Genomic DNA, 22,265 nt, shown 5'->3' on the forward strand with positions numbered 1-22,265 from the left:
TCAAAATCATAAAATACCAAAATCTCTTCAGTCTAAATCCTACAGTCTAAATTCCACATCACTAATGCCTAAAATCTTGAAAATCCCAATTCTGAAAGATAGAATCCTGAGAGTTGGAATCTTAATAGTTGAATTCTGGCAGAGATTAGTGCATTTTCAGGTGTATGCAGGATAGTTGCATCATGTCAGGCAGAACTATTACCTTGTTTTTTTCTTCATTTTGCAATTAAGTATGATTTAAGGAAATGTGTATGGTTGCAAATTTGACAAGGGGTGAAATTGTAAACTTAATTTTAGGTGTCAACTTGACTGAATAGTAGTCTATTTAAAATGGCTGCTAATAAATAATTCATCTAAAATATATAGCATATTATATGACAAAAATAAATATTAGGTAACAAAGATACAGCATAAAGTTTTAGACAGTCTATTTGCCCTCACTTGTCTCCCAGACCACTTGAAGAAATAACTATAGATATATGACAATGGTGATGATGAAGAGGAAGAGGTAGAGGAAGAGGAGGAAAATAGACAATGATAGATGAGTGTGTGCGGGAACATTAAAGAATGAATATAACCAAAAAGACAAAATCATGTATCTTAGTATTGATTTGAGTCTTGCATTCACAGGCTGTAGTTGAGAAGACTTAATGTGTTAGGTCTTGCAAAAATATTAGGATTCAGATAGAAAACAAAGATACTAGAGAGGAATTAGAGTACAGTGATTATGAGCTCAAATTTTGGGGCAGACTGCTCAAGTTTTAATATAGATTTTGGTAACTCTAAGTTCTGTGGCCTTAAGTAAGTTATTTAACTCCTCATGTTTAAAATATGGGCTCTATTAACTGTGCCTACCTCATAGGTGGTTATAGCATGAACCAAGTAGATACATGAAAAGCACTTAGAACAACACCTATCTAAGTGTTTACACTTGTTCTAGGTTTCAGGGAAGGATGATATAGAATTATGTTATGGCACAGTACTACCATGTTCTAGAAAGTTCGTTCACTGTGTCTTAAAAACTTATTTTTTCCCCAGCTTATGAAAATTACCATTTTGTTGTATTATCTTAAAACACTTTATTATTTTCATTCATTCCATCATTTTTCATTGTGTTGCAATAAGCATTGCTTTATTTTTATTTTCACATTTACACTCAATCCTCACTTATTTCCACACATTTATTGGATAATTAAATATAGGCACTAGTGTTAATAGCTTTGCTACTACATACGCTGAAGTGAATTGTGTTAGAGGAATCTTCTCTTGCTTGTTGATGCAAAGGTCGCCTAATATAGTAAATATGATGTCTGTGAAATGTCCACGATTCATTAAAGTGAGAAAATTTCAGCACTTTGAAGAAATTAAATGTCTGCTGCAATTATCTTAAAGCAATGCCATTCTGTTTTTATTGACATATTGTTTTAAAGGTGACAGAATTTATTGACACTTTTAGTTGTTTACTTTAAAAAAGCTAAACTAAATTTAGTTAAACAGGTTGATAAATACATTTGGCTTTTAACATATAATCTGTTATTTTTCAAGTCTGGAGGACTAATAAATGCATTCACATAGTAAAGGACTTGGAAAACTAAACATTCTATTCATTATCACATTCCACATTATCAGACTTAATAATTATACTAGATTACATAATTGTTTGCTATATGCATGGCATTGAGCTAAATTGCTTTTGTGTATTAGTTATCTAAGTACTCACAGCAAACTTTGAGGTAGACTCTACTGTTGACTAAATTTAAAAATATAAAATTCCATTTCTTTATTGTATATAATTATTTTTTCTGCATATATCCTGGCCACAATGTAAAGCAGTTTAAAATTGAGATCCTGTTCTGTAATCTACCTTTGCCTCATGTTGTGCTAAAAACCAGCAAATGGTCACCAATTATTAGATACCAGGTACAAATTTTAAGCTTAGAAATGAGATTTAAATAAACTTGTCAAATATTTAAAGAAATAGTTTACAACTTGAAGTTTAGGGCAAAATATTAAATGATATAGTGTCAAAAATAATAATGATGATTTGCTCTGCTAAAAGTTGAAACCAAATATTGCTAATTCTCCAAGTTTATTTGAAAGTATGCATTACTCTAAGTAAATGGCAGATATTAAAATCTGTTTTTAATGTAATCTCATAAAATTTGACCTCAGGGTTTGGGATAGGGAGGGGAGAATTATAGGTAACATATAAACAATTTTATAGCAAAGGTGTTATGATTATTTATTTCAATGTGAGATAACAGTTGTGTCTCCTTTGAAATTAGGGCCTGCCTTTCTAAATCTCACTAGGAAATAACCTACAAAGTTTAAATTTTTGACCAAAAAAAGAAACCCACCACTGACATGTTTAGATTAAAAATGTATTTTAAAAATAATGCTTGTCAACCTTTATGGAAAGTAATCATAGAGCCAGTGCTTCATGAAATTTAACTATTTGCCATAAAAAAGTGTTGCACTTCATTTCCAGGAATCTGTGTTTTTTCGAAGTCTCTACTTGTTCCCTAGCAAAGTAGGGGTTTTAAATTAGATTATTTTATTGATTTGCTAATTTCTATAACAAATCACTTTGTTGATTTAGATGTAAGTTCACCTCATAATTTAAATGAAAGTATGATTCCAAATGATTTCTGATGTTCCTTTTAGCTTTAAAATTCTAATTTGTAGTTTCCAAATGTACTTTATTATCTGATGACTTGTTATTATCTGAGGACTGTTTACTAAATAATGTTTAATAATGTAATAAATAATATTTGGGATAAAGGTGTCTGAAAGCATTTCACTTAGAATATGATAAAAAAGAACCAATTAAAATGAAACTCCTTCATTTTGGGAAAAAATATACTAAAAGATTCTATCATAACTATTATGTAGAAGATATTTTGTCATTTAAACATACTAAAATTATTTTAATATTTATACAAAACATTATTTACCAAGCCTTTAGATAATACATACTTTGGAAACTACCAATAGTTAAATAGAATTTTGGAGGTAGGAGAAACCTCAGAAATCATCTAGAATCATACTTCCATTTAAATTATGACCTTAATTAGCATTATTAAAATTATTTTATTGTATGCATTTGTTTAATGAAAAGATATATACATCTTTATATTAGCAAGAAAATAATATAAATATGTTTTGGTTTCATTACTATCATAGCTCTCTTACAGTATTTAAAGGGTTAATTGAGAGACTACATGAATAAAATAATTTTTCTGTTAACGCTTTTATTTAGACTCGTCTGGGACACATAAACTAAGACATGCAATATTCTACCATCTCATTAAGCTTGTGTTATAGAAATGAGAGAACCTAGTGATTATTTGCCCTTGTAACACTAAAAGGAAAATCCGAATCTTAAGTAGTAATTAAGAAAACCAAAACTACATTTTAAACAAAGCATCTCTTATTTAGGCATGCCATTTTCTCTTTTCTTTCGGGAAAAAATAGCCTTGAATTTAATTGTATAATTTTACATCATTCTTTTAGGAACTGTTTAAACTATTCCTCTAATTCTCTTTGTATTTCTCTTCACTTTTATGCATACTATTTTTTAGCAATACATTATTACTGATTCTGTAATTAAGATATTTTTGTTTTTCCTTGAAAATGGCTAAATAGCTTAGCCTCATTCTGAACTGTTGGGGAGTGGGAATGGAGGTTTTCTGGGAGTGTTTTTCTTTTTTTTTTTTAGTCTTTTCAGTTTTTGCTTTGGAACAGAAAATAAGCCCTAAATCCATTCAGTAGTCTTTTCCTTCTGCAAGCAAGCACAGACTTTCACAGAGAAACAGCATTGCAAAGACAATGTACCTTATGCAGAAACCAGTGCTTCAGATGAAGGTTAATGGTTTGAACTGCAAGAATACCAGTCTACAGACTGTAATTAGGAGTCTCTGATGAAAGCCTGAATTATGATATGAAAAAAAATCTGCTCCTTCATATTAATGTTTATCTTTCACTCTTTCTGTGTACCTTTTCTATTTTAATGGCACATTTATCAAAATATCATATGCTCATTAATCTTAGGTTACAGGAAAAATATAAGTTCATATTGCATTTCAATAAAGGCATTTTATCCCCTTCTTAGATTCTTTCAGACAAAAGAAGGAACCAATGTTACATTATATCCTAAATGTTGCTTACGTTTTTTTGTCAGTGGAAATTATACAAAGGTCAACTTTTTCTCTGATTTCTAAGAAGTACCTATTTTACTCAATTTCACAACTAAATGTATTTATGGAGTATTGGTTAATACCACTGGAAATATTACAGAAAGATTGAATCAAATAAATAAATATACCATGACCTATATACTTGTGTGTTATATTGTTGTTCTAAGTAGCATTATTCTAAATTCTCATGAGTAAGATGATACATTTGTGGGTAGATGTGGTAAGCAAGACTTTTAGATGGTCCCCAAGGTTACAGGTCCCATGTAAATGTCCTGAGTGCTCACCTCCCCTGGAGTGGGGAAAAAACCTGTGAATATATGAGATATTATTTTTGTGATTAGGTAACTAACTAGTTGACTTTGAGTTAATGAAAAATGAAGGTTGGCTTGGATCTGGCTTAATCAAAGACAGCTTTAAAAGATGAAGCATCAGTTATATGCATTGTAGCCTAAAGAGAGCAACATTGATTTTAGAAATTTCCTATGGGAGGAGTGATTAGACATGGCGTGAAAATGTGAGCAGCCTCTGGGAAGTGAAAGTGGTTTCCAGCTGACTGCTAGACAAAACACAGGGACTTCAGTCATTTCAGACATACTATCACAAGGAAATGAATTTTGTTAATAATTTGAATGAGGTTGGAAGTGGATCTTTCCCAAGTCGAGCCTCTTAGAACCACAGCATGTCTAACACCACAGTATGGTCAAGACTTCATTACAGTCTTGTGAGATGCTGAGCAGTTAACACATACCTAAAATCTTGACCCATGAAAATTGTTAGATTATTAATGGGTATTGTTTTAAGCCTCCATGATTATGGTAAGTTGGTATGCAGTAATAGTAAATTAAAATAATTTGGGTATTTCACTTTCTAAATATTCAGCAAATTATATCTATATAATTAGGTGAAAGAAAAAATCTATATATTAGAAAACTATAACCTTTGATATAAGCTAAATTAAATAATTTAAGACAGCCCTAAAATTAAATTTCTGAAAACATTTAGCTGTTTAGAAATAACTTGGGACTTAATTGTATTCATTATTATTAAGATCACTTAAATATTATTCATAAAATATAATATATTAAAAAATCACAATTCTGGGATTCACTTTTTTCCTGCTTCACCAAACCTGTTTCTTCTACAATTGTTTCTTTCTTAGTTAATAAAAAATAGTATTCTACCAGTGGTTCATGCCAGAAACTTTGACATTTTGTACTTCTCTTATTATTTTACCCCACATGAAATCATCAGCAAACTCTGTTAGCTGTTTCTTCAAAATTCCTTGAATCTGACCCCTCCTAACCCTGACCCATGCCAGGAACTCTGATGGAAACCTTAAGTCTTACCCCATTTTTCACCTGTGCTATGCCTCTAACAGGTTACTGTCACTTATTTATGTGAAAGATACATCTTGTTCTTCCTCCTTTCAAAGTGTTCCAATGACAACTGGTTTCCCCATAATGACAGCCAAATAAAGCCCTTCCAACAGAACCTATTTTATCTGGCCTTCCTTTACCTCTCTGGCATCATCTTTGACTAATTTTTCCTGCTCTAAGCTTCTTGGTTCTGTTGCTTTTTTTCAATTTTCCTAACATACCCCTCAGTTCTTTACCCATGTTCTTTTTTCCCCTCCATCTGAAGCACTATATTTCAGTCTTCACCAAATAGGACCTTCTCAGTGAAGGCTTTCTTTTTCTTCTCTGTAACACCCTTGTCAATCTTCTTTCCTTGCTTAATTTATTTCCATAGCAGTTATTGTTTTCTAATATATTCCATCTCAATCTAAAATTATAATAGTAGGTATTTTGGTTTTGCTTTGGAATTAAAAGATTTCTAATTTTTAGTAGATTAATTATTGATAATCATGCCTTCCAGTGTTTAATTAGACCTGCCATATATTATGTTTAGTGTGCCTACTAAAGCAAAAGAACATGCTTTATGGTGGTACAATTCTTCTCACTTTCTCCTGAGTACTGCTTTGCTCACTAATAATTTTTTTCCTGTATTTTTCTTTTATTATATCAGTAACACTGGTTTTCTATTTTCATATATTTAAGATAAATCTTATCTTATTCATTCTGTCCATCAAAGACCAAATTCCTAAACTGCTCCTTTTTATTGAATTGTATATGAAACAACTTGTATGAGTTTAGGTATGTATGTAACTAAGGTATTTTAGAATGAGTAAATTATATTGCATTAATTCTGTAAGTTGTAATATCTAAACACGCATTTCAAAGCAAGAACTGTTTGGGGGGGTTTCTTTCCTATGAAAGAAATGTTCCAGATAGTAAAAAATATTGAGAAAAAATCACTGTGCTTAACGTTCAAAAATCTTTTATCTTATTTTATTTTTATGATACTCTTATAGTAAAGAGGGCTTGGCACCTTTAATAAGAATATATAATATAAAAAAAACACAGTGGACATTTTAGTGTATTTGATAACCAGAAATTTTAATAACTACTTCAAGTATCAGGATATTTGTGTAATGTGACAAGGATGAAAAGACTATATGAAAAAAACAATTTGAAATTCAATTTTATTTTGGTATATATTTTATCACTCATACACCATCAAAACTTGAGATTGGTTCTTCTGCTGAATATATATCTTCTGTAATGTTGAATTACTTAGTATATCATTTTTTAAACAAAGAAATGTTAAAAAATGTGCTAAGAGATTAAAATATTCTTTTCTAAGAAGCCTCAGGATTTGGAGGTGTCTTGGGGCTTCTCAACAAATAATTCTGTGGCTGTAGGGACAGCTCAGACACCTCAGCCTCACACATGAGGTGAATGGTATAACAGCACGTTTTAGACAAATAGTGAAAAACGACAAGTGCTATAATGACATCCAGGTTTCTTATGTGACCTGGGATAGTTCATTTTGTGCTGCCAATCCCAGATATGTTGCCGTATGCATAGAGGTGTGTGGGAGGGGAGAGTTGTGCTCCATTGCCCAAGAATTTGAATGAGATTCTTCATTCAAAACAGTAGGAAAATGTCTGCTTGCCTGGATTAGCAGCCTGAGCCACCCCACCATTGACATGCAGAGACTATGGTGAAGCGGGGCCTTTCCCACTCCATGCCCAGGCAGATCTCCAGGCATTCAGAGCACCTGCTTTCTCCTGTGCAGAGATCATGGTGCAGTAGGGCCCCCTCTGCTTCATGCCCCTGCAGATCTACATGCATTCCAAGCAGCTGCTAGCCTGAATCAGCAGTCTGAACAACTCCGCCCTTCCTGTGCAAAGACTGTGATGCAGCAGGGCCCTCACCATTCCACACTCAGGCACATCCCCAGGAAGTTGGAATACCCATTCCCCTGGATCAACAGGCTAAGCCTCCACACCCTTCATGTGCAGAGATTGTGGTGCAGCAGGGCTATCAACACCTGACTCCTTGCCATATCTCCAGGTATCTTGAACACCCATTATCCTGGAATAAAAGTTTAGGCTGCCCCTCCTCCCTATGCAGAGAACTTGAGGCTGAGGAGGATTCTCAGCTCCACACTTAGTCACACCTCTGGGTGCTTGGTGGCCACTCGCTGGATTCTCCCTCAGTACTGGTGTTTGTGCCTGCCATTGTAGGACCTGTAGGTGGGCTTGCATGGTCCTTCCTCATCCATCTTCTCCCCACTCAGTGTCTGAGCACACAGCTCAGGTCACTTTGCACTTCATGGCTTAACCCATTGTCTGAGGCAACAGAGAGCTTCTCCTGGTAAACAAGGATCAGGTATATACCCAGCCCCATTATCCATAGTTGGCTCTTACTTATAAGCACAATCTACTGGCTTGTAAGTCAAACTACGCAACCCAGTAAAAAACTGGTGACAGAAGTGCATAGGGCCATAGAAGCAAAGCCAAAAGACCCTACTCAGCATTCTCTACAGTCACTCCCTGAAGGAAGGGGAGGAACTGAAATGAAATACAGTAATATCATAGAGAAAAAGGCAAGGACACAATTTGCTATCCACATGAAAATAATTGCAAAAATTGGAAGTGCCAGTGTCTTCAGATGAGGAGCCAATGCAAGACTTCTAGCACTGTGAAAAATATGAATGTAGTGACATCACCAAAGGATCACACTAACTCTCTCCACCAACAGTTCCTACCAAACTGGAAAGTCAGAAGTGACAGAGAAAGAATTCAAAGCAGGGATTTCAAAGAAGCTCTACAAGATCCATGACAATGCTGAAAAACCACACAAAGAAAACTTCCAAATCACCCAAGGAAATGAAGGAAGAGATAAACATCTTAAAAATAAATTAATCAGAGCTTCTGAAATTGAAAACCTCACTTAAGGAAGTTCAAAATACAATTGAAATCTATATCAATAGACCAGACCAAGAAAAAGAAGTAATTTCCCAACTTAAAAGCCAGTCTTTCAAACTAACCCACTCACACAAAAATAGCAAAAAGGAATTTAAGAATATGAACAGTCGTTGAGAAATATGAGATGATGTAAAGTGACCAAATCTACAAATTACTGGCATTACTGAGAGAGAAGGAGAAAAAGCAAATAACCTGGAAAACATATTTGAGGGAATGATTCAAGAAAACTCTTCTAATCTTCTAATCTTGGTGGAGGTAGACATATTGATACAAAAAATTCAGAGAACACATGCAAGATACTATACAAAACATATCTCACCAGGGAATATAGTCACCAGACTCTCCAAAGTCAGCACTAAAGAAAAAAAAATCTTAAAGACTCAGAGAAAATGGGCAGATTATGTACAAAGGGAACCCAATCATACTAACAGCGGACATTTCAGTAGAAACCTTACTAGCAAGGAGAGATTGGAGGCCTATTTTTGGCATTCTTAAAGAGAAAAAAAATCAATTGTCCCACCAAACTAAGTTTATCCCAGGAAACTAAGTTGCATAAGAGAAGGAAAAATCAAATATTTTCTAGGCAACTAAGAGCTAGGGAATTTCTTACCACTAGATCAACCTTACAAGAAAACTTTAAGGGAGTTCTACATATGGAAATGAAAGAATGATCCTTGCTACCACAAAAACACACTTTATTACATAGCCCACAGACCCTGTAAAGCAACCACATAATAGAAACTGCAAAGCAACCAGCCAACAACTTCACAATAGCATCAAAACCTCACATATCAATATTAACTTTCAATGTACATAGTATAAACGCCCCCACTTAAAAGACACAGAGTGGCAAGTGGGGTTAAAAAAATACCTCATCAACCTGCTTTCTTCCAGAGACACATCTCATGGCTACGCAACACTCATAGGCTAAAAGTAAAAGATAGAGAAAGATCTATCATTCAAATGGAAAACAAAAATTAGCAGGAGTTGCTATTCTTTTATCAGATAAACCAGACTTTAAACAAACAACAGTAAAAAAGTACAACAAAGAGCATTACATAATGATAAAAGGTTCAATTCAACAAGAAGACTTTACTATCTGAAATATATATTTACCCAACAGTAAAGCACACAGATTCATAAAACAAGTACTTGTAGACCTAAGAAAATACTTAGTGACACAATAATAGAGGGGGGTCCTCAACACTGCATTAACAGTGTTAGATGAAACATTGAGGCAGAAAACTGCAAAGATATTCTGGACTTTAAATTCAGCATTTGACTAATTGAACCTAATAGACATCTACAGAATGCTCTACCCATCAACCATAGAATATACGCTCTTCTCATCTCAAAGAAAATATACTCTAAGATTGACTACGTGCTTGTCCATAAAGCAGGTCTCAATAAATTCAAAAAATTGAAACAATACCAATCATACTTTCAGACCACAGTGGAAAAAAATTAAAACAAAGAAGATTTCTTAAAAGTCCACAATTACATGGAAATAAAACAATTTGCTGCCAAGTGATAGGTACATAATGATATTAAGGCAGAAATCAAAAAAAATATTTGATATAAATGAAAACAGAGACACAACATACCAAAATCTATTGTATGCCAGGAAAGTGGTGCTGACAGTAATGTTTATAGTGCTAAATGCCTACATTGAAATGCTAGAAGGATGTCAAAATACTGATCTAACATAATACTTAGAAAAACAATTTATTGAGAACTACAAAACACTGCTGAAAGAAATCATAGACAACACAGACAAATGGAAAAATATTCCATCATCATGGAGTGGAAGAATCAATATCATTAAAATGACCATAATGCCCAAAGTAATGTACAGATTCAATGCTGTTTCTATCAAACTACCCATGTCATTTTTACAGAATTAAAAAAAAGCTATTATAAAATTTATATGGAACCAAAAATTAGCCTAAGTAGACAATGCAGCCATAAGCAAAAAGAACAAAGCTGGAGGAATCCCATGGCCCAACTTCAAACTATACTATGAAGCTACAGTAATTAAAACTGCTTGGTACTAGTACACATATAGACATATAGACCAATGAAACAGAATAGAGAACCCCAAAATAAGGTTGCATACCTATAGCCACCTGATCTTTGACAAAGTCAACAAAAAATAAGCAACGGGGAAAGAATTCCCTGTTAATAAATGCTGCTGGAATAGCTGGCTAACCATATGAAGAAGAATGAATCTGGACTCTTACATTTCACCACATACAAAAATTAACTCAAGATGGATTAAAGACTTAAATGTAAGACCTTAAACTATAATAATCCTAGAAAAAATCCTGGGAAATATCATTCTAGACATCAGCTTTTACAAAAAATTTTTTACTAAGTCCTCAAAAGCAATTGCAACAAAAGCAAACATTGAAAAATGGGACCTAATTAAGCTAAAGAGCTTCTGCACAGCAAAAGATACTATCAACAGAGTAAACAGACAACCTATAGAATGGGAGAAAATATCCACAAAGTATGTATCTGACAAAGGTCTATATTCAGAATCTATAAGGAACTTAAACAATTCAACAAACAAAAGCCAAATAACCCCATTAAGAAGTGGACAAATGAGAAGTGAACAGACACTGCTCATCAAAATACATATAAGTCAACAACTAACATATGAAAAAAAATTGCTCCACATCACTAATTGTCAGAGAAATGCAATGCAAATCAAAACTACAGTGAGATACCACCTCACACCAGTCAGACTGGTTCTTAGAAAAAAGTCAAGAAACAACAGATGCTGATAAGGCTGCTAATAAAAGGAAACACTTACACACTTTTGGTGTGATTATAAATTTGTTCAGCCACTTTTCTCAGAAGTTTGTGGATTTCCTCAAGAGTTTAAAACAGAGCTACCATTTGACCAATTGGATGTAAACCCAGTGATCTTATTACTGGGTTTAAACCCAAAAGAAAGTAAATTGTTCTAATAAAAAGACACATGTGCTCATATATTCATCACGGAACTATTCACAATAGCAAAGACATAGGATGAACTTTGGTGTCATCAAGGGTGGATTGGATTTAAAAAAATGTGGTATATATACATCATGGAATACTATGCAGCCACAACAAAGAATGAAATCATGTTTTTGCAGCAACATGGACGCAACTGGAGGCCATTATTCTAAGCAAATTAATGCAGGGTCAGAAAACCAAATACTGCATATTGTCACTTGTAAGTAGAAGCTAAACACTGGCTACATATGAACATACAGATGGGAACAATAGACACCAGGGACTATTGGAGTGGGTAGAGAGGGAGGAGAGCAAGGGCTGAAAAGCTACCTATTGGGTGCTGTTCTCACTACCTGAGTGATGGGATCATGCATACTCCAAACTGCGTCATCATGCAAAATACCGATGTTAGAAATCTGCAATGTACTCTTCAAATCTACAGTAAAATTTGAAATATTTTTAAAAACACAAAAAGCAAGCAAGAAAAAACAGTGGAAAAGGAAAAGTAACAAAGAAGGCTAAGTGATCATTGTAGAGCCATTTTCAGACTTAGATAATAGCAGTTTACCTTAAAACATGTTTATTAAATTAATAATGAACTATTATGCAATTGCACACGTCTTTAATTTGCAGAAGAAAAGAAAGATGTGGATACATCTCTGAGATAAAGCTGCCCTACATTTCCTTACCCTGAAAATAGACCCAGCCTGCTAATACCAATCAATGTCTTTGGGTTCACCAGAGTCAATTTGATTATGCCCTTTGCTCTGTTTATTATTGTTGTCATAAGAAGCTATAGTCGTCTTGGTTATCCATCATCTTCTCCATCCTCTACACCCCATATAGTTCATCTCCTTTCCATCCCTTCTCTTGCCTTTCCATGAATCTGGAAGGCCTTCAACATTCCACCAATATGGAAACACTTCGTATCCTCAACTTTGGCTCTAAAAGCCTTCTTCACATTATCTCTTGGCTTTTGTCATAGGATACTGATAATCCTGCCCCTTCTTAAGAAGAGTTATTTTTCTCTTTCCTACAGCCTCCAGGTCAGGGTGGCTGTAAGAGGGTGGGTGACTTCTTAGTACCTCATTGCAACTTCATATTTTTTTTTACTTTCCTTTCAAACTTCCCGTGTTGAAGTCTGTCATCATGTTGTATCACACTTTACACCTCATTGTTTCTGTATCATGTACTAACAGCAAGGGGCCTTTATTTTTGCTTCTGTCTTCATATTACTCTTATTATTCTTATTTAGTCTTAATTATTGACAATTTCTATAGAACTATAGAAATCCTCACACACCACAAACTCTAATTTTCATGAATTTATCTCCACCCGTGATCTTGTTATCTCCTCTGTCTCAACGATTCATCTATTCTCAGGGTTATACCCTCTATATGTGTATTATAATATCCTCATTTTTTGCACTCATTTTTCTAATTACTTCCAACTTCTTTCCAGGTGACTTCTTTTGGCATTACAGAATCCTTCAAAACTATCAGGACCCATAATATGTGTATTCATCAATGTTTTCACTAACTTCTATGCTTTCTCTTTCTTGCTTATGCATTTTCAATTTCACGGTCATTCATTTTAACCACACTCATATACCATCAAACATTCTTGCATTTTTTCACGTAGCTCTGCTTTCTTGCCCAAATCATAACACTGACCAAACTAAGCATTTATTTACTCTTTTCTTGCACTAATGTAGGTGAAAGTAACTGGACAAAAACTCCAAATCATAATGACTCGTCTCACTTCAAATGATGAATATAACCTCAATAGACCTGTAGCACTGCCTAAGGGCAATAATTTGTTTCTCTCAAGCATATTTCTTTCTCTTAGAAAACCAACTCATCTTTTTCTTTATCTCTTTTAAACCTTCCATACTTTCTTTCCCAACCTTATTCTCAGATGATGACCTTGCTTACTAAAAGCCTTGAAGTGATCATAATAAAAATTTCTATAGATTTTCATCACCACATTTACCCACAACTTCTAAAATCTACACTTGTATCTTTTTTTACTTACTTTTTCCAGTCACCTTACAAAGGATCAACTAACATCCTTTTACATAAAATGTATTTCTGCACATTCCTGCTTTCCAAATTAAGGATACAAATACAATAGTTTCTTCTTCTTCTAATCTGCATCATTAATTTTTCCTCCCTCAGTGTATAAATAATTCTTTTCCTTTTTGTTATCTTTCTTCTTTTTTAAAAAATATATTATTTCATTTCTTATTCATGCTATGTCCCCATATCTCTCTTTCATTTGTAGCAAAGACCCTTGAAATAGTTTATTTTGATTGTTTCCAGTTGTTCTCCCCATTCCCATTCTTTCTTAAATTCAATATAATCAATCTTCATCTCCAACTCTATTAGAACCACTCTTTTAAGTTCACCAATTATCTCCAGCCTGTCTTCTAGGACTCAATATTTGTCCCTCTTTTACATCTACACTAGTTATCATATCTAATTTTATAATTTTGATATCATTTGATCTAAAGACTGACAACTTTATTCCTAGGAATTTTAAACTCATATCCAACTGCTTACAGATATCTCAGTTTTAACATGTTCCAAATATAATTTTTTTCCTACAAACCCATCTCATTCATGGTCCATTTTAGGTAATATTAACTCCATCTTGCAAGTCCTCAGGCCAAACAAGCAGAAGATATTATTGACTTCTCTTATTAAATTGTTAGTTGGCTTACACAAATTCTTACAGGGTGACCAGATATCTTAGTTTTCCTGAGATTGAGGGGTTTCCTGAGAGAAAGGGATTTCATTGCTTAAACAAGTGCAGTAGCAGGCAAATTGTCACAGTTGTTCACACTAGAGGATCTGTTTCCTATGACCTCTCTGATATCATTTCCCACTAATCTCTATTTCACATGCTGTACCCCAGCAACGATGAACTCTTTGCATTCTCTCAAATATGTCAAATAGTTTTACACCTTAAGAACTTTGTGCTAGCTCTTCTGTTGCATTCAATGCTATTTTCAGTGGCTAACTCCTTTAATTTCCTTGAAGCTTGCTCAAATTCCCACTTTTCAATGGTCCCCTCTGACCATCCAATTGAATGATTTCCACTCTTCTTCCATCTTTCTAATTCTAACTCACTGCCTTGGACCTTGAGCATAAGTGACAGGCATGATCAAAAGTTGTTTGGAGGAAAAAGTGGTAACAAATTTTGTTATGTAATTTGCAATGTGGAAAATAAAGTTGTGTCTATTTTTCTTGCTTAACTATATGAGTTTAATCAAAACTAGCTTAGATATTTTATGGACTATAAAAGTGACCTCTGCATTAATTATATTTAATCTAAGAAGTTTTTATATTTCACACATATCAATTTACTGTAACATTTCTGTGTTGATTCCACCTGTGTTTAAGGAAAGAGAGAGAGAATTCAATTTTAATAACAACCGTAGCCATATATTAAAACTTCTTAAATTTTATATAGGTTTAATTCCAGTGATTGAACATTTCTTAAAATAGTATTGTGTTATTGTTTTCCAAATCTTCTTTCAAGCTAATGATAGTTATTCCACAGGTCCTTACGAGGGACCTCTTGATCTAACTAGATGGTTTCCATGGATATTTAGAAAGCAACTGAAACATTTTAAGTGGCAATTAAAGTTAACAAATATGGTGACAATAATTCACAACCAAACTGAAGTGACAGCAACATGAAAAGCCATGAAAAAATTTAAACATATAGAAGCAATGATGAAAATATCTGCATTGCAACCTGAACAAAGATGAGAACAAGATTTTAACAAATTTCTATGCTTCCCAATTCTAAAGATATTAAACATTAAAAAACTATATCCTAGGATCACTGAAGTGTTATATGCTGAAAACAACTTCCTCCGGGATCAATTTTTTTAAATGAAATGTGAATTAATCAATATTGTCTAGCTAATTTGCTGCAAAATTCCTCATATCCTTTGATACGTTAATTCACATTGCGAAGCTGCAAGAGAGGAATTAATTTTGTTGAGTTTCACAAATTTGCCTGTCTAGGGATTTCTGTTTTCTTTCTCTTATACCTTTTTATTTATTTATTTTTTGAGTAATCAAATAACTAGTATTTAAGGAATATACTAGTTTTTATTCTCTGTTGTCCTAATGTTAAGGAAGAAAAATTACCGTTTATTCATTTCCTGTGTATTCTCAAGCAAAATAAACTCTTAAGATAACTAGTAGTGGTAAATAATAAGAGCAAAGGATTGAATAGGAACCCCTTTCTAAGTATTTTATTTTTTCTCCTGGAGAATGCTCACCGATTCTTAGAGATACCCCTCCTCTAATTATAGAATCATTTAAAAAATCTCCTGAGAGGAGCTTTAAATTGTGATCATGAAAAGATAATGAAACATACCATTTATTTAGTAATGGGTGTGCCAGAAATGCTTTTCAATCTACTGGAAGAGTAATAGAGTTTGAATACTTGTGGTTGAAGGAGATAAATTAAAGAGAAGTAAATGTATCTTTGTGTGCAGGACATTAGTATGTATTTCCTGTTCTGACAGAGAATATTGGTTTAATTGATATAACTTTATTTTACTGAAGAAATAGAGCATACTAAATGTCATTACAAAAAAAATCAAATGGAACATTTTAATTATTGTCACAAAAAGATGGAAAGCTCTTTCCTAAAGCACCAAAGCTGAATAAAATGGGAGTGGAGTATCACCAAAATACTGCTGGAGACAGCCAAGAGCCACCAGATATACACCTCAGAGGGGATATGATATGCTCAAATATCCCAGACAAGCAGAAGACTTAGGAATTACAGAAGACATAGAATAAATAGTGGTACAGTGACCTTAGTAAGAGATTATGCCTTTATCGTTCCTTACTGGTTAACAGTGGGGTTTTTCCCTGTAATATAAGGTTTTGTTTTTGTTTTTTAATTGTGCTGTTTTGACCCAGTATTGAGGCCAGTTTGTTCCCATTCTACAACAGCCTCTCCCCTTACTGGGCTCTCAACTCCAGGCTACTATGCCCTTGCCCTATTTGCTCCAAGGCCAGGTTCCAGGCAACTTAAATTATTAAATTATCAAATTAGCCAGTTCATAGGGAGCCCAGAAAACCTAGCTAACCCTAACGTGATGTCCATGCATGAGCGTCCCCAACAGCTCCAACTTGTTGTTACTCTGTCCCTAGGTTGCAATCCTTGTGTGGCCCTGCCTGGAAGCCTTCTCTCATTCAGAGCTGTAAGTAACAATAAAAATCCTGTCTTTCATCTATTGAGTGTTGATGTTTGTAATATGCCATCAAAAGACTCTTAAAATATTATAAAGCATTCCTCACTGCCCAGTCAAAGAGGTGGGCTCCAAAACAAATATTTTTGAAGATAATGTGACTGATGGAAAGCCAGGCCATTCACTTTCAATGTATTATTATTATTCAATGGATTTGCTGATCAGTCTTCTCTAGGAATTTGAGCAAGTGGAAAAAAAATTCTAAAAAATATGACAAGGCAGAAAGAAGACAAAACAACAAATCAGCTGATAGTTTCCTGCTTTGGTCAGGCGATAGGTGTGTTTCCTATAGTTTAAGTGGAAAATTAGCTAAATATAATTAACTTTATGGTTCCCTACCAGAATTTGAGAGGTCAGTCTCTCAATGGGAAACTCCAACAGGAAAAGGCTTGCATAGACCACAGAGACAGGTGCTGAGTAGGAAATTGGTCAGTTCCTGAATTTTTCGTGTCGAAGAATCAGGCCACAGAAGGGAGACTGTATTCTGCCCCACAGAATCATATATATTTTTTACCAGAAAGCCAAGAGAGCACTAAAGCATCATCAATTGAGAAAATCATTGTTTGTATATTTCTTTGGTATGGGTTAAATTGTGTATTCAGGAAAATATATGTTGCAGTTCTAACACCCGGTACTTCTGGATGTGTGTGACTTTATTTGTAAATGAGGTCACTGTAGGTGTAATTAGTTAAGGTGAGACCATACGGGAGGAGGATGAGTCTTTAATCCAACATAACTAATGTACTTATAAGGAGACACTGAGACCCCCGGGAGAATACCACATGATGGTGTAACCAGAGAGTGAATTGGTGCCTCTAAAAGTTAAGAAAATAACAATGAATGCTGGTTGTCACCCAAAACTAGAAGCGAGGCAAGGAACAGATCCTCTTTCACAGCCCTCAGAAGGAACCAATTCCACCAACACCTTTGCCTCAGACATCAAACTTCCACAACAGTTTGCAAGAGTGAATTTGAGACGGGAGGAGTTCCCTCACCCCCTTGCAGGGCATGTGACAGAGGTGTGGCTCCCCTCTTAGGTGGCCCACTGCTCAAACCCCTGGGGGGAGCATGCAGACTGGCAGTTCTAGGGAGTGTTTTGGGTCTCAGGCCCCATGGTAGTGTTTGGGGTTGACTGTTTACAGCTCCTGAAGCCCCAGTAGGCCTGTGTTACAGTGTGCGCTCTCAGTTTTGCCATCTGCAGGCAGCTTGTGTTAATCAGCTCAATTATACCCTCTGCCTTACTGCAAGGACAAAGGCCTTTCTGTATCTTGGGTTCTTGCCCTAGTGTGCCGGAAAAAAACAGATCATATGTGAGCTTGGAGGATGGGTACAAGGTTTTATTGAGTGATGGAAGTAGCTCTCAGTGAGACGGATGAGGAGGCCAGCATGGGAATGGAGTGGAAAGATGGTCTTCCCCTGGAGTCGGGCCTCCCAGTGGCCAGCTCTCCCCTGACTGCCCGCAACAGAATTCCATGTCGTCCCGCCATCTGATGGCCTGCCAGCGTCTGCTGGTGTCTATCAGTGAGCTCTTTTGCTCTTCTGCTCCTCTCGACGTCCAGTTGTTTGTGTCTGCCCACTAGGGTTTCAGAGTTTTTATGGGCACAGGATGGGGGGCGTGGTGGGCCAGAGTGATCTTTGAAAGTGCAACATTTGGGCATGAAAAGAGGAGTGCTTCTCCTCACTTAGTTTCTTGGGCACAAGCCCGAGGGTGGAGCTCCCGCCAGGTACCCCGCTCTTCTCTACCCAGCACTTCCCTGCCATGCTCCCGTATCAAATTTCAGTTGTTTTAAGCTACACTGCTTGTGGTACACTGCTTAACCAAGTTGCTTTGTTAAAGCAACTTTAGGAAATTAATACATTCTCCAATTTTTTCATTCCCCACTCTTAACTCTAGAGTAGATACAGGAAGAAGAGTGAAGGAAGAGGAGGAGTGAAAATAGGCATGGAAGCCTCTAAGCCTCCAGGTACTGGGAGCAGAGAGAGAGGTAAGGTTTGATTGCATAGGTAATGGAGGTTTTAAATTAGGATGATTGATCTAGAAATTGCATACTCTATATTTTAGACCCTTATGTCAATTTTCATTGCAAATTGTCTGTTTTAATGAGATAAACTTCAAATAGTATTAATGGGTTTAAAAAGAAATTAAGCAGATATTTGTTGGAAGCTATTGAAGAAAAATAAATGTCATTCACATAGGCACCCCAACAAGTTCTGAGTGCTCAATAAACCTGTCACACAGACTTGACCGAGAGTAAATGGATCTAAGTGGGCATCCTGTTCAGCCTAAGTTCAGCCACCTTGAGACTACCCTTAGCACTTGCCCCAATTATCACTAAAGAAACAAAAAATAATTTCAAGCTTAATTAATAATTCATAAGATTTACATTATACATCTTGGAGCTTTATGTCCTATAACATTCAGGAAAATAAAATAAAATTATTTCATCACTGGCTTATAGTCATGTCACCTCTCTTTTCCCCTTCCCTTTTAAGACAAATTTCTTCACCTTTCTGTATTGTCCTAAGCAAATATACCATGCATATTCTATTCAGCAAAACTGAAATTCTGTTAGTTGAACTTAAAATCCTTTAAAAGCAGCTCAGCAACCATGCTTACTGATAAGTAACAATGCTTCTCAAGTGAGTTATCAAATTTTTCAACCAAATACATAGGTCTCTTGGAAGATTTTAGTCTTTGCATAAGCAAAACACAATGTGGTTTTCTGTCCAATTATGTAAGCTGTAGTTAGAAAATTCTCATACATACCTGCTGAAAGAATATTCTCATATATATGCTAATATATGTATACTCATATATATAATGTATTAAGGACATTCTCATATGCTGAAAGAATATAGAATATAAATATGTAAATATGTTTTTTATGTTTAACATGAAACATATAATACATTATTATATATGTTACATATGTAATGTATTATAATATTATATGTTACATATATAATTTATTACATATCATATAGTATATTACATATACTATATAGTAATGCATTATATATGTAACATATATAACACATTATTATACTATATATGATGTGTATGTATAGTATTATATATTTTATTGTATATACTACATGCACAAATTACAGGACAGTATGTTAGTTGTTATTGGAGATAAATGCAAATAAGACAGCATAAAGCATTGTAACTATAGGAAAAAACATATAATTCCCATAATTATAAATGTAACTGAAGACAGAATGTTATGCTAGGTTTGTGAGTGCTAATTAATAGCATTATTTTCAACTCCAAGTATTTAACCAACTGAGAAATTCACGCTGGAGTCAGTTAGAAAATAAAATATCAGTTGTTTCTTTTTCTTGTTTTCTTGACAAGGCTAAATTAGAGGATGGAATAAAAATGGGCCTGCTGCATTTTTCTACCAACTCACCTCACTCCCTTTCAAGATCTTAAGATCTTTTGGACTGCCAAGCGGAAATTCCCTGGGAAAAATATTTCCCACCACATCCAATTCAGAAGAAACCAATAAATAAAATCTACCTATGAGCAAATGGGACTTCAAGTCTATGAAATGGAAAATTATAAAACAGTGAACAGATCTCCATTCCTTATTGCAATCATGTAGTCTTCTAGTCTAGGGCCATGCACCAAAACCATTTTAGATTTAACCCCTGACTTGTTGTCTTCAAGCTGATATATTCAGGTGGCAAGAATTATTAGTTCAACTAAGAATGGCTAAGATGTAATAAATATTCAATAAATACTAACTGGGGGTTGTGCACCAAGGATAAAGACTTATTTATATAGACTCAATTGAAAAGTCTACAATTTGAATTTGCTCTTCGAAATTCCCAGAAGGCCTCTCAAGTGTCACAGAATCAGCAAGTGAACAAGATTCTCACCATCCTCAGGGCAGTCAAGAACAATAAAATGTAGAACTTTGAAATTCGGAGATTAAGCTGTAAGGCTAATCTACACAGAGGACTAACATGAGCAAACATATGAACAGGGCAATTCTGGTACTGGCAGCACTTAAGTTTAGGATATAAATGGAGATAAGTGTAAGAAAGTAGGACAAATGGCTTTTTAGTATAATTTGAATATTATCAGATGACAAATTTTAATTTAAGATAATTTCATTTGTGTATTAAAATGTTTAAAATAGTTTAATAATCTATTTTACTACCATTATTAACCATTGAAATATTCTGTTAATAATGTTTTTAATATTTACTTATAGTATTACTTAATTATTTTTCTAGGCAGGTTAACTTAGTTCAATTATCCATTAATTAGAAGCAGAAATAAAAGTTAATATTTAAATCTTCCATTTTCAACCAATACCACATTCTTTTACCCACACCTTTTTAAGATCTCTTCTTCATCAGCAAGACGAGGGCATGAACTACATATCCATATCCTTCCCAACATGGTTCAGGTCAGAGTTTGCCAGTGAAAGGCACTAATGCAGGATTCGGAAGGTAGAAAAAAATGGATAAGCCATTATTTTTCAGAGGTAGTTGTGATCAGACACAAGCTTCCTGGCGAGCTGTGGAGATACACCCATGTTGTCATTGCCTAATTTCTCCCTGAACATTTAGAAAGCTTCTTCATAGAACCTACGGAATGGGAAAGAACATTTGCAAGCTATGCAGATGACAAAGTTGTAATATCTAGACTCTATAAGGAACTTAACAAGCAAAAAACAAACAACCCCATTAAAAAGTGGGCAAAGGACATGGACAGAGATTTTTCAAAAGAAGACATAGACACGCCTAACAAGTAAACAAAAAAAAATGCTCAACATCACTGATAATTAGAGACATGCAAAGCAAAACCACAATGAGATACCATCTTACACCAGTCAGAATGGCTATTATTAAAAGGTCAAAAAATAAATGCTGGCAAGGTTGTGGAGAAAAGAGACCGCTTCTACACAGCTGGTGGAAATGTAAATTAGTTCAGCCTTTGTGGAAAGCAGTTTAGTGATTTCTCAAAGAACCCAAATGCAGAAATACTCAACCCAGCAATCTGATTATTGGGTATAAACCCAAAGAAATATAAATCAGTATACCATAAAGATACATGGATATGTATGTTCATTGCAACACTGTTCACAATAGCAAAGATATGGAAACAGCCTAAATGGCTGTCAACGATAGACTGAATAAAGAAAATGTGGTACATATATATCATAGAAGACTATGCAGCCATAAAAAATAATGAGATCTTATCTTTTGCAGCAACATGGATGAAGCTGGAGGCCATTATTCTAAGCAAACTAAAACAGGATCAGAAAATCAAATACCAAATGTTTTTATTTGTAAATGGCAGCTAAACTTTGAATGCATATGGACACAATGAAGGGAAAAACAGACACCAAGGCCTACTTGAAGGTCGGGGTTGGGAGGAGGGGGAGAATCAAAATACTACCTATCGAGTACTATGTTTATTACTTGGGTGACAAAACTA

General features: G+C 34.6%; 1 long non-coding RNA gene across 1 annotated transcript in view; it reads left to right on the forward strand.

Moving 5' to 3' along the window:
* Window positions 1-22,265, forward strand: part of LINC01720 (long intergenic non-protein coding RNA 1720) — a 176,769-nt gene that overhangs the window by 149,912 nt on the left and 4,592 nt on the right. Inside the window, exons 3-4 of the long non-coding RNA NR_033922.2 lie at window positions 16,713-16,762; window positions 18,705-18,795. This is a non-coding gene — a long non-coding RNA (long intergenic non-protein coding RNA 1720). The remainder of the gene's footprint in view (window positions 1-16,712; window positions 16,763-18,704; window positions 18,796-22,265) is intronic.

The sequence above is a fragment of the Homo sapiens genome, chromosome 1 (genome assembly GCF_000001405.40).
Source record: "Homo sapiens chromosome 1, GRCh38.p14 Primary Assembly".
Classification (NCBI taxonomy): domain Eukaryota; kingdom Metazoa; phylum Chordata; class Mammalia; order Primates; family Hominidae; genus Homo; species Homo sapiens.